Source organism: Homo sapiens, chromosome 5, assembly GCF_000001405.40.
Source record: "Homo sapiens chromosome 5, GRCh38.p14 Primary Assembly".
NCBI lineage: Eukaryota > Metazoa > Chordata > Mammalia > Primates > Hominidae > Homo > Homo sapiens.
The window spans coordinates 113,689,888-113,704,736 of record NC_000005.10 but is presented as its reverse complement, the minus strand read 5'-3'; the positions used below and the strand labels follow the sequence as shown (position 1 = coordinate 113,704,736).

At 39.3% G+C, this 14,849-nt stretch overlaps 1 long non-coding RNA gene across 1 annotated transcript in view; it reads right to left on the bottom strand.

Moving 5' to 3' along the window:
• Positions 1-9,409: 9,409 nt before the first annotated feature.
• LOC107986441 (uncharacterized) overlaps positions 9,410-14,849 on the bottom strand; it is a 62,022-nt gene continuing 56,582 nt past the window's right edge. Inside the window, exons 2-3 of the long non-coding RNA XR_001742841.1 lie at positions 13,583-13,678; positions 9,410-9,658 (exon numbers count right to left, since the gene is read on the bottom strand). This is a non-coding gene — a long non-coding RNA (uncharacterized LOC107986441). The remainder of the gene's footprint in view (positions 9,659-13,582; positions 13,679-14,849) is intronic.

Here is a 14,849-nt window from a genome sequence, read left to right as displayed (position 1 = left end):
AGATGCTAGAATCATGCTTCTGTACAGCCTGAGGAACCATGAGCCAATTAAATATCTTTTCTTGATAAATTACCCAGTCTTGGGTATTTCTTTATTGCAGAGTGAGAAAGAACTAATACAATGAGTGATTGCCATGAGCATGAAGGGCATTCAGCAACAGACACCCAATTAAGTCCTTGTAATGCTATTGCTCCTTCACATCTCAAATGCCAGAGGTACTACACAAACCAGTCTCTCTCCCACCTGTATCCCATCCCAGTTCACTACAAGTAAAAGGCTTAGCAACTTCACTGTTTCTACAAGCCTGGGGCTATCAGTACTTCACCTATCACTGGTGATAGGGACTCACTGCTAATTACCTGGGAAGTTATCCAACTTCAGAATCCCTTACAGTATTCTTCCCAGTTCCCCTCATCTGGTACCAACCATCATAGGTCAGGTTCTCTAGAAGCAGAATCTGAATCAGAGATTTAAATTAATGATTAAAATAAATATATAAATTTTTAGATAGATAGGGATTCAAAGTAAAGCATGCCTACTATTAGCTTTACATAAGGCTAAGCCTAAAATATCTCATAATTAATTATATCAGAAAATTAATGTACTATGTAAATTCTAAGGAGAAAATATGCAAAGTATTTCAAAAACATTTTTAGATCTGGGCAGGGCATCAAAACAGCGTCCACCAAATTCCCCATCCACTAAATGTTTCAAACATGAGCACTGCCTTCCCAGATTGATACTTATTGGGTTTAAAATGTCTATTTCAAAATGAAGATATTGAAATGGGAGTTTTTCCCAACCATAAAAAGAAATGTATCATTTTCACACTATGGACTTAGAAGAGGTCCAAATGGTGCTACAAACTCCAAAAAAGTTTAGCTGTCATAGATTTTCAACAAGGGATCAAGTTGAAGAAACTAGGAATTAATAGTCAAGGAGATGTGGGTTCTAGTTATAAGAGGTCTCATTCCAACCAGTCTACCAATTGCATAACAGAATGCAAATTGTTAAAATAAATATTTAAATCTAAAAGTAGTTAAGGATTAAAAATAAAGCATGCCTACTATTAACTTTACATAAGGCTAAGCCTATAACATCTCATCATTAATTATGTCAGAAAATTAATGTACTCTGTAAATTCTAAAGAGAAAATGTGTAAAGAAATATTTTAAAGACATTTTAGCTCAAATTTCTCTGTTTGAATTCATAAAGCTCCCTTCTGGTTTCCAATCTGTCATGAGAAGAAGTATCTAATTGACTGCAATTTCAGAATTGGTGGAAAACAGAAACAGTCCAAAGACCAATAATAGAGTTGAAATGTCTTTCTTCTTCACCAAAAAAACTGGATTTGCATCCAAAGATGCAGGCTTTGAAAAATGCATTATTTATTTAGCACTAAGAATAGGGAAGCCAGGCTCTGTTCAGGAGTTTTCTTGCTTTCTGTTATCAAAATGACATTCTGCTTTATAATCACACTTCCTACATAATAGCCTTGCTATTTCCATTTAAAATATTTAGACCTTTTTCTTAGAGGGCAAAAGGCGAGTCACACAGTAGAGCATTTTGAGCCTTTCGATATGGAAACTGTCCAAATAGAATGCAAATTCACAATGCTATTTTTAATGACCTTGAGCAACCATTGGTATTTCTGCATTTCAGTTCCAAAGATCAGAAATTTGCATCATTAATAAGGAGAAAAAGAGTAAAATTTGCACAACTCCAGTATACTCCCAAGGTATTCACTATTATCAACATTTTCTCTGGTCATATATTTAAAAAGAAACATAGCAACTGAAGTAAAAAGGAAACAAAGTTGGATGTGAGGAAAACTTTACAACCTCAAAGTGCTAATAACAAATGCTGCCTTTGATGTGGACAAATGTTTTTCCAAAATAAACAAAACAAAAACCCTAGAAACAGTTGAATTTCTACACTCTAATTTCTAGACCAAAGAATGTAGTATGGAAACTGTAGAATATCTTTGATATCAGTGTACATGAGGAGACTTCATTCAAAAATTATAAGGGAGGAAGTTTTAAGAAGCCCAAGTCTACAGTTACAGCACTGATAGCAGCTAAATGGGCTATAAAAGTTACTTTACAAATGAGGAGACTCAAAACTAGGATGAAGGGAATTTCAGTTAATTTCAAACCCCTAGGATTTTAACTTGAATATTTCTTTCTTTCTTTTTTTTTTCTGAGATGGAGTCTCACTCTGTTGCCCAGGCTGGGTGCAGTGGCATGATCTCGGCTCACTGCAACCTCCGCCTCCCCGGTTCAAGTGATTCCCCTGACTCAGCCTCCCAAGTAGCTGGGATTAGAGGTCCCCACCACCACGCCCAGCTAATTTTTTGTATTTTTAGTAGAGATGGGGTTTTACCAGGTTGGCCAGGCTGGTCTTGTACTCCTGAGCTCAGGTGAGCCACCCGCCTTGGCCTCACAAAGTGCTGGGATTACAGGCATGAGCCACCACACCCAGTCAAATATTTCTTATAAAAGGTAATATTCACAAGATAGTAATAGTTGTTCATTAATAAATTTCTCTGGATAATGATGCCAATGTAAAATAAAAATTTTGTGAAGGCAGAGTAATTTTCAATCAAATGTAAACCTTGACCACAATCCACAGGAATTACTGGCTATCCTGTGAAATCCAGGCCTAGATTCCTAAGTACATTCAACAATTCTTTCACAAGAAATATTGTACAAGCAGTCTAGATGTCAGATATTGGCATTTCAAGTCAGTGGAGAAAATAGTTGTCTATTAAATAAATGCTATTGTAACAAAAGACTGAATTGGAAGATAAAATTAAGTTAGACTTCTACTTCCTAACAATTACAAAAATAAAATACAGATCAATAAAAGAGCTAGAATTTTACAATTAAGAATTCTAAATATAGGCAATTCTGTTAATACTTATTACTGTATTTCACTTGATACCTGTATGATGGGAAGGAAGCGTCCATGTTAAGATCTGTAGGAAAGAACATTCCTACAGAAGGATAACAGTGCAGACGCCCTGATACTGGAATGAGAGTGGCATGATGAAGGTCAAATAAATCCAGTAAACTTATAGAGAAGAGAGCAAGCAAGAAAGCAGAAGATGAGGTCCCAGAAGTAGGAAAGAACAAGAACATGGGAAGCCTTGTATACTATGTCAAGGAGACTGAATTTTATTCTATGCATAATAGAAGCTTTAGAGTGTTTTAAGCAAGGGTGACATGATTTGATATGTGTTTTAGAACTATCACTCAGGAAGATTAACAGCAGGAGTACAAAAGTAACATCAGGGACTATAATGCAAAGAGAGATGATGGGGACTTGAATAGGGCAGGAAGATAAGAGAGAAATCCAGGATGATTACTCAGCTTGAGGCTAGTATGGAGGGTGGTGCCATTTACTTAGGGGGAAGGGCAATTTTGAAGGACAGGAGTTAATAGTTCTATTTGGGGAATGCTATATCCAAGATATGTATTAGATATCCCTGTCATAATGTCCAATAATCAGTTCAATATCTAAGTTGAGGAGCCCCAGGAAGAGATTTGCGCTGGCAATATAAATCTGAGGATTTACCAGCACATAAATGTTATCTCAAGCTAGGTCAGATCACATAGGATGAGAACATAGACAGAGAAAAAAACACAACCAGACTGATAGACTTCTACTTTCAGAGGTCTGATAGAGGAAAGGACAGAAGCCAGCAGTAAGACTGAGGAACAGGGGCCCAAAAGGTGGGGGAAAACAGACTTACAGGGTCACTGGAGCCTAAAGAAGAAAGCATTTCATCAACCATGTCAACTGCTGTTGAGAGGTCAACTGGGACAAGGAGAGAGAACTGACAATTGACTCTGACATAATATAAATCATTGGTGACCTTCGTAAGCGTGACAAGAGCTGCTTCAGTAAACAGCTTTGGATAAAAGCCCCATTCCAAAGAGTTAGGCAGAGAAAGAAAATGAGAATGACACAGAGCATACAGGCAACTCTTTAAAGCAATTTTTGTATGAAGCAGAGATGAAAATAGGGCAGTGTCCAGAGGGAAACATCAACCCAAAGGATATTTGTTAATGCATGATAACAAGCCATATTACATGCAATTGCAAATGATTTTTAATAATATGCTAATTTATATTTATTCAGCATTTACACTGTGCCAAGCACTGGCACACATACTTTCTTGTACTGCTCATTTAATTGTCAAAAGTATCACTGACTCAGTGGCAAAGTTACTGAGACAAAGAAAAGTCAATAAATGTGCCTAAAGTCACATTGTTAGCAAGTTATAGAACTATGATTTGAAAACTGACAATATGAGCTCTTTACCACTGCACTAGAAGATGCAAGGAAGAAAGCAAATAATTGTAGAAAAGTAATCCCTGAAAAGGAAAGGGAGAGCAGGCACCAGGGCACAAGCTGAGGGATCAGTCTTAGATACAAAAGCAGATGGAAAACAGAGTCTATTGATACAGACGCAAGTAGTTAGAATTTGTTGTGGGAAAGGCATTTCTCCTCTAATTGTGTCTATTACTTGTATAATTAAAAATAAAAACCTTTAAAATATTGTTAAGACTTTCCTGTCCTTAAAGGGCTTGCAGTCCCATAGGGGAGACGGATACATAACCAAGCAAGTGGTTTATGTAAAGTGCTTAGAATGGAGCCTGGAACCCAGGGGCTTTCTAAGGTGAGCTTCAGTTAAGTTCGATGATGGTATTACCTAATGCTACTGAGAAACATGTGAAGTATAGTGGGGACTTAGAGTGGACAACTCTACTGTGGGAGAAGCAGGTGCAGGGAGGTCTCAAAGGCTCCCAGAAGACAATGGAGATCTGTGGAACTTTGAACTTGAGACAGATGATTTAGAGTATCTGGTGGAAGAAATTTCTAAGTGGCAAAGAGTTCAAGAGGAAGCAGAGCATAAAAGTTTGGAAAATTGTAGCCTGATGATGTGATAGAAAAGAAACCCCACTTTCTGGGGAGAAATTCAAGCTGGCTGCAGAAATTTGCATAAGTAATGAGGAGAGAAATGTTAATCACCAAGACAATGGGGAAAATGTCTCCAGGCCATGTCAAAGACCTTCACGGCAGACCCTCCCATCACAGGCCCTGAGGCATAGGAGGGAAAAAATGGTTTCCTTGGCTGGGTCCAGGGCCCCCCTCCTGTGTGCAGCCTGGGGACTTAGTGCCCTGTGTTCCAGCCACTCCAGCCATGGCTAAAGGGACCAAGGTATAGCTCAAGCCATTGCTTCAGAGGGTGCAAGCTTCAAACTTTAGCAGCTTCCATGTGGTGTTTGGACTGCCGGTGCACAAAAGACAAGAATTGAAGTTTGGGAACCTCCGCCTAGATTTCACAGGATGTATGGAAATGCCTGGATGTCCAGGCAGAGGTGTGCTGCAGGGGCAGAGCCCTCATGGAGAACCTCTGCTGGGGCAATGTGGAAGGAAAATGTAGGGTCAGAGCCCTCACACAGAGTCCCCATGGGGGCACTGCCTAGTGGAGCTGTGAGAAGACGGCCACTGTCCTCAGACCACAGTACAGCAGATTCACTGACAGCTTGCACCATGCACCTGGAAAAACTGCAGACACTCAACAACAGCCCATGAAAGCAGCCAGGAGGTGGGCTATACCCTGCAAAGCCACAGGGGCAGAGCTGTCCAAGGCCATGGGAGCCCACTTCTTGCATCAGTGTTACCTGGATGTGAGACATGGAGTCAATGGAGATCATTTTGGAACTTTAAGGTTTAATAACTGCCCTACCGGTTTTCAGACTTGCATGGGACCTGTAGCCCTTTCATTTCAGTCAATTTCTCCCATTGGGAACAGGTATATTTACCCAATGCCTGTACCCCCATTGTATCTAGGAACTAACTGGCTTGCTTTTGATTTTACAGGCTCATAGGTAGAAGGGATTTGCCTTGTCTCCAATGAGACTTTGGACTGTGGACTTCTGAGTTAATGCTGAAATGAGTTAAGACTTTGGGGGACTATTTGGAAGGCATGATTGGTTTTTAAATGTGAGGACATGAGAGTTCAGATGGGCCAGGGGCAAAATGATATGGTTTGGCTCTGTCCCCACCCAAATTTCATCTTGAATTGTAACTCCCATAATCCCCACATGTCATAGGAGGGACCCAGTGGGAGATAACTGAATCATCAGGGTGTATTTTTTCCCATACTGTTCTTGTGATAGTGAATAAGTCTTACAAGATCTAATGATTTTATAAAGGGCAGCTCCCCTGCACATGCCTACCACCATTTAAGACATGCCTTTGCTCCTTCTTTGCCTTCCACCATGATTGTGACACCTCCCCAACCATATGGAACTTTGAGTCCATTAAGCCTCTTTTTCTTTATAAATTACCCACTCTCAGGTATTTCTTCACAGCCGTATGAAAATGAACTAATACAGAGGGTATGACCAAGGAACAGCTAAGTAGGTGCCAATAAAGGATGCCTGGATCACCAAGCCACATCATTTGTTAAATATGAAAATATAAGAAATTAGAAATAGAATATTATATACAAGTAGGTGACTCTGTAAGACTACCAGGAGAGTCCCAGATGGAAACTGTCAATGTGTTTGAGAAGTTTTGAGGCACTGTAGCTCTGTTGATTCTATAAAGGATTCCAATCCATTCAACATATATAACAAACCGTATCCACAATACCATGCTTAGTGTACTAGTTGGTTTCCCTGCATGGAAGAAACCAAAGACAGAGAAAGAGAAATATTCCTGCTCCTGATGCCCTGAGTGAGTTGCCAGAGATTGAAGTAGCCTAAGCAGCATGGGTCAAAAATAGAACAAGGGATCAACAGGAGCACTGGCAGAATTGAAAAGGAGGAGATAGATTTAAAAGAGTTATGGAGATAGAATCTACAGGATTTGATGACTGAATGGATTTGCAGTATGAGGGAGAGGGAAGAGTCAAAGTTGATGAATCTATTTCTAGCTTAGAGGACTTTGTGGCCATTTACAGAAATTAGGAACAGATTTGGGCAAGTTGGGGAGGAATATAATAAATTCAATTTAGGTAGAGTCTGAGAGGCTGGTGACGCAGCAGGAGCTCATGACAAAGGTGTAGACCAGGAAAGTGCTAAATCATGCACACAGCACCCAGGTCTAGCAACACAACAGGAGTAGGCAGAAGAAAAGGATCCAGCAATGGGGACCAGAAGAAGCCATTCAGTCTCAGAGGGAGAAAGAGTACTGGAGAGGACTAGATTTCGAGGAGCTGCATTAACTAATGTCAGGGTCCAAACTGGTTTGTATTAATATTTTAGCTTTTAGTCAATGAACAGAAAATATTTTGATAAATCCATCACTATTCACTTAATACAGCTGAAACAAAGCAGGCATAATGAAAATTTCCAACAAGAGCATAAGCAAATATTGCTATAACAATAATATGACTTTCAAAGGAGAAAAGCTTTGAGAGACGACAATTCTCTCCCTGTACTCTCTCTTCTCTTATAATTTTTTTCTCCTGAATAATTTTGGGTCATTAAGAGGCACAGCTTCTAATTAACCTAATAATACCTCCCAATTACTACATGTACTCAAGTTAAGACTTTGAAATCTCTCTAGATAGCTGTCATGAGACAAAAAAACAATTTTTGATAAAATATAATATTATTTTTATTAAAAATTGATACTTTCCTATTCTAAGCATAAAAAAAACTATAATATAGACCCTCCTTTTTTTTCTTTTGAGGGAAGTGAAGTGGATGAAGAAATACTAAGGATCTATGGGAAACACTGATTAATTAGTTTACAATTGACCAATAACTCTTGCAAAGAAATATTTCGTGCACTGAATCTCTAGAAAGAGATCCGCCACATTCCTTTCTACTTTCAACAATCTGAGAAGCTACACTCAGATGCTGAAAGGCACTTAAAGTATGTGCTCTCATTTCCTGTAATTGAACCAGATTTATAAGAAGTGGAAAACAAATTTACCCCAATTGGCATAAGATTTAAATTTCCTCAAGAGTAGAATGAAAGAGCTAGGTTAAATGATTCGAAAGGTCTCTTCCACTTCAGACATGTTATGATTTCATAATTGATGCACATGGCACTTATTGACAGCAATTTTCTTTGAAGCTCAGCAGCCATATACATTGGTTTCCACAGTTTCTTGTGCCTCTAAGCAGGAAAGGCCATAATACTTTCTCTGATACCTCACAGACAATTTTCAAGGTGGTCATTTCTGGGTTGTTTTTTTTTTTTTTTTTTTTTTGAGATGAAGTTTTGTTCTTGTTGCCCAGGCTAGAGAGCAATGGCACAATCTCAGCTCACTGCAACGTCCACCTCCCAGGTTCAAGCAATTCTCCTGCCTCAGCCTCCCGAGTAACTGGGATTACAGATGCCCATCACCATGCCTGGCTAATTTTTGTATGTTTAGTAGAGATGGGATTTCACCATGTTGGCCAGGCTGGTCTTGAACTCCTGACCTGGTGATCTGCCCATCTTGGCCTCCCAAAGCACTGGGATTACAGGCACAAGCCACCATGTCCAGCTGAAAGTGGTAATTTCTGATGCAACAATTTTGTGATTTTTTTTGAAACATTTTAAACTTCCTAAGATATAGGCTCTCAAACTCTCCTCCAATTCCCTCCTGAATACTCATGAGGGGTATGACCCAATCCTATCTATTCAAGAGCACACATAGAACTGATTCGCAAATTGCCCTCTCTGTGAGCATGTGAATAGAGGAGATAAGTGGTAAGTTGCCCCCCATTGTTTCCTCCCCATTTGTAGGCACCTGTGGGACATAATTTCTTAGGAAGAACAGATCAATGATTTAAAGCACTCCTAAAAGCTTGATGGTTCAGCCATCTTTTTTCCATTAGGAAAGAACTTGCTGACATCCATCCAAGTCATTGGGAAACAAGGACAAATTACATTCCATTATCACTTTTCTTCAGCTTCCATCCACCACCCCATGCATACTTTGACCAAGAGCCTGCTGAGGAAACCAGACATGACAGTAAACCAAATCAAAGTACTGTAGACATCTTTACTTCTTCCAGGCCACATGATTTTATTCCTAAACAAAACCTCACATTACACCAAAACCAGAGCTTGCTTTAAAAGGGCAAGATACTGTAAATCACTAGAAAGTAAATACCATTTTTGCAACTTAGCAGCATAAACAATGTAATACATATAAATAAGACAAAAACGTCCTGTGACATAAATCCTGCTACTGGACACAACCTTGAAAGGATCCTTGGGAGTCACAGCATAACTGGATCTGACAGCCTGCACTCAACATTTACATGCTATGAAATTGGCTTTCTGAAGAATTATGAATAATTCTTCTAATAATTATTCTAAATAAAATCATTTCCCTGCTGATTGGAGCTCAAAAAGGAGAGGAGAGACTTTAAATTGAACTCACCTTGGAATGAAAATTATTCACCTTTTCTGCTTTTAGTGAAGCAAAGGAGTAGCAGACAGTAAAGAAAAGTGAGGTGTGGCCATCAAGATGACTGCAGGATGTTGGAGAAATGTCATAAGACTAATGCCTGTTCATTTATCAAAAAGTCTTTCCCACGGGGTCTTCACCATCAAAATGGGCAGATGCAGTCAGTCTGATTTAAAGTCACGTTTTAGTCTCTGGATCTGCAAATCCTAGTTCCAGCATTTTCACTCCCTGTGGGCCAATATTTTCACTTTTTATCAGAACAGTAGCTTATGCTTTGGCTCTCCTGCTTCTCTTCTCCCCACCCCTCCCTTCTCACTCATAATTCAGAAAAATCACACCTTTATTGAGGATATGCTACATGCCGAAAAGTACATCTCCTACTCTTCCTGACTATTCCACAGACACACATTCCTGCAGTAGGACCAACTGGGGTGACTCCAGTTGCCTAGATTCAGTGGCATCCAAACTATGAAAGAGAACTGGAGGAGAATGTAGTGGTATTCCTTCACGCTAAAAATGAGGTTTGTACATGTGCTTACATATTCATATTTATGCCTGCAAACAAATATGTATATGTATGCAAATACACATAAACACATAAAAATAACCACAATTATTTTCTTTTCCTCTCCTTCTCCTAGAAGACTATGGAATGCAGCCAGCCCTGCCCAAATACCATTTCAGAACTTTTTTTTGCTTTTTTGTGTGGCATCTTTTTCCCTTCAGCATTACCCTTGATGCTCATCTTGCCCAGATTTCAACTGTATAGAAATGTTAGGGAAGAAATAACATTTTATAATGTACTGTAATTTGAGACCATGAATATGCACTGTTGGTTTCCCTTGAGTAATGTATAACTAACCCAAACAGCATCTCTAACATTGAAGACTCAGCAACTAAAGGCATCTGAAAACATGCAAACACTAGGGTTAATAGTCTGCTAGCAGGCTTTACTAATTCAACCAAAATTACTTTTATAGATTATTAGCAACTTTAGGAATTGCACTAAACTATTGTACTCTGCTCATTTTAGTTCAATCTTTTAAATGTCCAAGTTTTTCTGATGGAAAATCATCTCATTGATCTGTCAGGGGTTAATTATTCAAAGTGCTAATGACAGTTGTCAGCCAGACCAAGGCTCATTTTGCTTTGGCCTTCATTCGTAAGAGCTTGGAAAAATGACAGATTTTAAAGACAAAAACTTCCTAGGCCGGCAGTGTGAAAAGACTGCAGATTGAAGATCTGTCTTTCCAGCACCACTCATACTCAACACCCAGAATTGTGGAAACTTCCCAGTAAGTCTTCCTAGACTTTTATCTGCCTTAGAAGAAAAATATTAGTGTTGTGGCTGATAAGCCTTAAACAGCTCAGCCTCAACCCGATTGCCACACTAAAGGGCACATTGCCGCACTAAAGGGACAATTTGGCAAGCTTCCTGTCCAGGGTCCAGATGGATAAACACGACAAAACACCAACAGTACACACACACTCACACACTTACACACCCAGCTATATTTTCAAGAGACATAAACACTATCCAAACAGATCATTTCTAACCACATGTTGGGCTGCAGGCTTATTTAGCCTTTGTTCCATTGAATTTCAGATGTTCTTCAATTCGGCTGCTTTTCTATCAAACGGGAAGAAAACTACTTAGCCCCATATTGCTTGACAGGATTGGAGTGGAGAATGTTCTGTTTGGTTTTATTGCATTGCAAAATTACACATAAAAGGCTGATTATTTTTATTAGAAAAGAATGGGTTACCAATAAGCTTTTAAAGAAACAAAAGCAAGCAAATGGGGTGAGTCTCCTCAGTATGTCATGAATGTTTTCTAGAGGCAAGGAAATTCACAGCAAGGAGGCAGAAGAGCTTGAATTGTTGAAGCAGGATTAATGCGCTCAGGCCAACTGAGAAACCCCAGGGGGGACGCGTGGGGTTTTTCCACTGGCTGCCTGAATACCAAGCAGGAACACCGCTGCCCTTTACGTTACCACCCTCCCGTTTTCATCCCGATGTTTCCTGTTGATTTTCTAACAGCTTAAATGTTTAAAAACAACTGCGTCCTCTGAAACATTTTAGCTACCAACAGGTGAATGTTATTAGTTAGACCTAAATAAGCGGGGTGGGGGAGAGGTGTTCTTCCCTTCCTCTGTATGAAACGAGGCTTTCCTGAATCGGAAATAAAGTAAAAATGGAAATCTGCGGGTACCCTGGTTACCTGGCAACCCAAACCCATGGGCTGCGTCTATTGGCATCCTAATGTCCCCCAGCATGAAAGATGCTGTCGGAAGGGATTCCTTTTATGTGGAGCCTCTTTACTCTCGTCCATTCATTTATCCCCAATTATTTGGTTTCCAAGTCAGTAACCCAGATTTCTGAGGGCTCTAATGCTTGTCTCTGTAGGGAAGGAGGCTTCCACTAGGGAATTTACTATAACACCTTTTAAAAGGAATCAGTGTTTTGCAACCCCCCGGGAACATTTGTGTTAAAAGGAAAAAACAAGGAGGGGGCTCTGGGGGAAGACTGCTTCTGGCTGCCCCGCAGTTCCTTCCCCATTGCTCTATGGAATGTGCAGGTCTTTCCTATTTCCTCAGGACCTCACTGCCTGAGGCTTCACTTGGAGAACTGCCTGTCACACTGCAGAGTCATCTATAAATAATCAGCCCAAATTGGCAACTGCCTGGAATGACAGTAAGGGAGAAATAACGCATTCCACACTGGCCCCACCCCCAACCCAGGCAAACCCCTGATACTTATTGTCAGTTCCATTACTGGGTCTAGAAATAATTCTAGGATTGTTTTGACATCGTTGTTTTGATTTGCAACGTTATGAAAAAATCTGGACACTACTGAAGAGACACGTGCTCAATTCCAAAGCAGAAAACTTCAAAAAATTAACATTTTGCCCTCCTCTGAAGAAAAATGCTATATTAGCTCACTAGATTTTTAGAGTAAGTATCAATGATTCTCGTAGTGATTCTGTTCATCCCTAACTAATCAAAACAAGTTTATCTGCTCTGTGTCTTTTAAAAACTTAATTCTCTCAAGGCCTTGTCCATTCTACTAGTTGTTTGTATTTCTATCAGAGGCTTTAAATTGTCAAAGAAAATCAAATTTCAATGTTTTTCCTATTTGTCAGCACCTTTTTGAAAAATTTTATGAAGGATAAGAATTTTAACTATAGGTATTACAATATAGAAAGAATAGTTAAATCCCTATAACCTAATTAATTCAACAAAATAGGTTGAGAAATTAGCAGATGTAACACCCTGCTAAAATACGTGTGTGTGTGTGTGTGTGTGTGTGTGTGTGTGTGTGTGTGTGTTGCAAAGATGAATACAGTACAGTCTGTTCTTTGAGAACTTACATTCTAAAGAGAAATATATAATGCATATGCTTTACCAGGAAATAATAATGTATGTGCTCTCCAAGGAAAATATACTAAGTACCAAAAAAGACATGAGCAATGGGAACTTTTTGAGATATAGTCATTTCCAGCTCTGGCAATGGAAAAAGCCACAAAGGCTTCAGGAGAAATGGAGAAAAAAATAGCTTTTGATCTAGTCCAATGGCTGGGTAGAATTTTGATACACAGAGATGGAAAGGACATTACAGATTAAAGAAATGGAGTGACCAAAAGCATGGGGTGGGAAGGTGCTGGAAACATTCAAGAATTGGTCAATGGTCCAGTTTAGTCAATGCACAGGATACACTGTTGTCCATTTCAACTGTGGTGTATCAATCAATCTATAATGCTGCCTTCTATAATTCATTCACTCATTTATTCAACAGATATTTACTGGATGCAACAAATATTTAAGTCTCTTTTTGGCAGAGACTTGAGAGGATTTAAAAGAACAATAATAAACAAGTGATTCTCAATTTTTCACAAGGCCTTTTGCCAAAGTTGTTGTTCACAAATTGCCACTCCTCCTTTAAGATTATAATAATATCACAGTTGATGTTGCTAAAAAAAATTCCTGTGCATGTTTAATGTGACTTATTCATGAAGAAACTGCATTATTCCAAGGGCAGGCAACACAACAGCTTGTTGGAAGAAACCGGTTCAAAGCACAAAGCATCAATACATAAAACACTCATACCATTACAACATCCCAACTACATGCAGTTATACCTCCAAAGTATTACCTGAGAAGTTGAGTGTTCAAAGGGGTGAAGCTTAGCCATTTCATTTGGAACTAGCCACCATACCATACCAATTCACTTAACAGCTGGACATTTCACCTGCAGGAAAAAAAAAAATTAAAGTGTAAGAATATTCTCAAACGATATTCTTTAATCTTATGGGTAAAAAAAAGATAAAAACATTTGCTGGATCTACTTCACTGGGTTAACGTAAGGATGAAATGAGACAATAAATGAGAAGTAATTTTAACCTGCAAAGCACTAAATAAATATTAGTTCATTTTATCACAAAAGTCAGTCTTTGCTGAGTCAGTGCCACATAAATCTCTCACTGAAAATGGTCCCAGCATGCACAATAGGACACACATTAACATTACACCAAGTTGGGAGGCTATCATGTTTTTTTTTGTTTGTTTGTTTGTTTTTTTTTGAGACAGAGTCTTGTTCTGTCACCCAGGCTGGAGTGCAGTGGCACGATCTTGACTCACTGCAACCTCCACCTCCCAGGTTCAAGTGATTCTCCTGCCTCAGCCTCCTGTCACTGGGATTACAAGTGCCTGCCACCATGCCCAGCTAGTCGTTTGTATTTTTAGTAGAGATGGGGTTTCACTATGTTGGCCAGGCTGGTCTCGAAATCCTGACCTTGTGATCCACCCACCTCAGCCTCCCAAAGTGCTGGGATTACAGGCTTGAGCCAGCGCACCCAGCCAGCTATCATGATTATTTGGTGGAATTCAGAAGAGAGCTGGGGACTATGTTGGTCACCAGTCAGTCCAGATAAGCGAGTGGCAACCACAGCAGCAGCAAAATTGAGACAATAGCTTGGAGAAGCTGCAAACATTAGCTAGTTGCTAGGGAGCTTCAACAAGATGTATCCCTGCCACTAAAATTGAGATCATGTGGCCTATATTATAAAAAATTAATCCAAGTTGGGGCACAGCTGAAAAAGATGCTTCCATCCAAGTGGCTTGACAGCAGGAGTCATTTGAAGTATTGTCTTTGGTTTAGAGCCATCTCACACTCATATTTTGGCTATACTACGTGAGCCACCAAATGAAGCAAGGACATCAGGTCATCATAACTCATTAGATCATAATTGCTGAAAATGAATTACATAATATTTTCTGAACCATCTTTACTGGTCAAAAGGTTATTAAAGAAAGATAGAAACCAGCAGTTATTAACTGCTTGCTCTGTACCAAGCATTCTAATTATTATTTACACATTAATTATCTCATGTCACATCCAAAAGACAGATGTACCCCAAGGG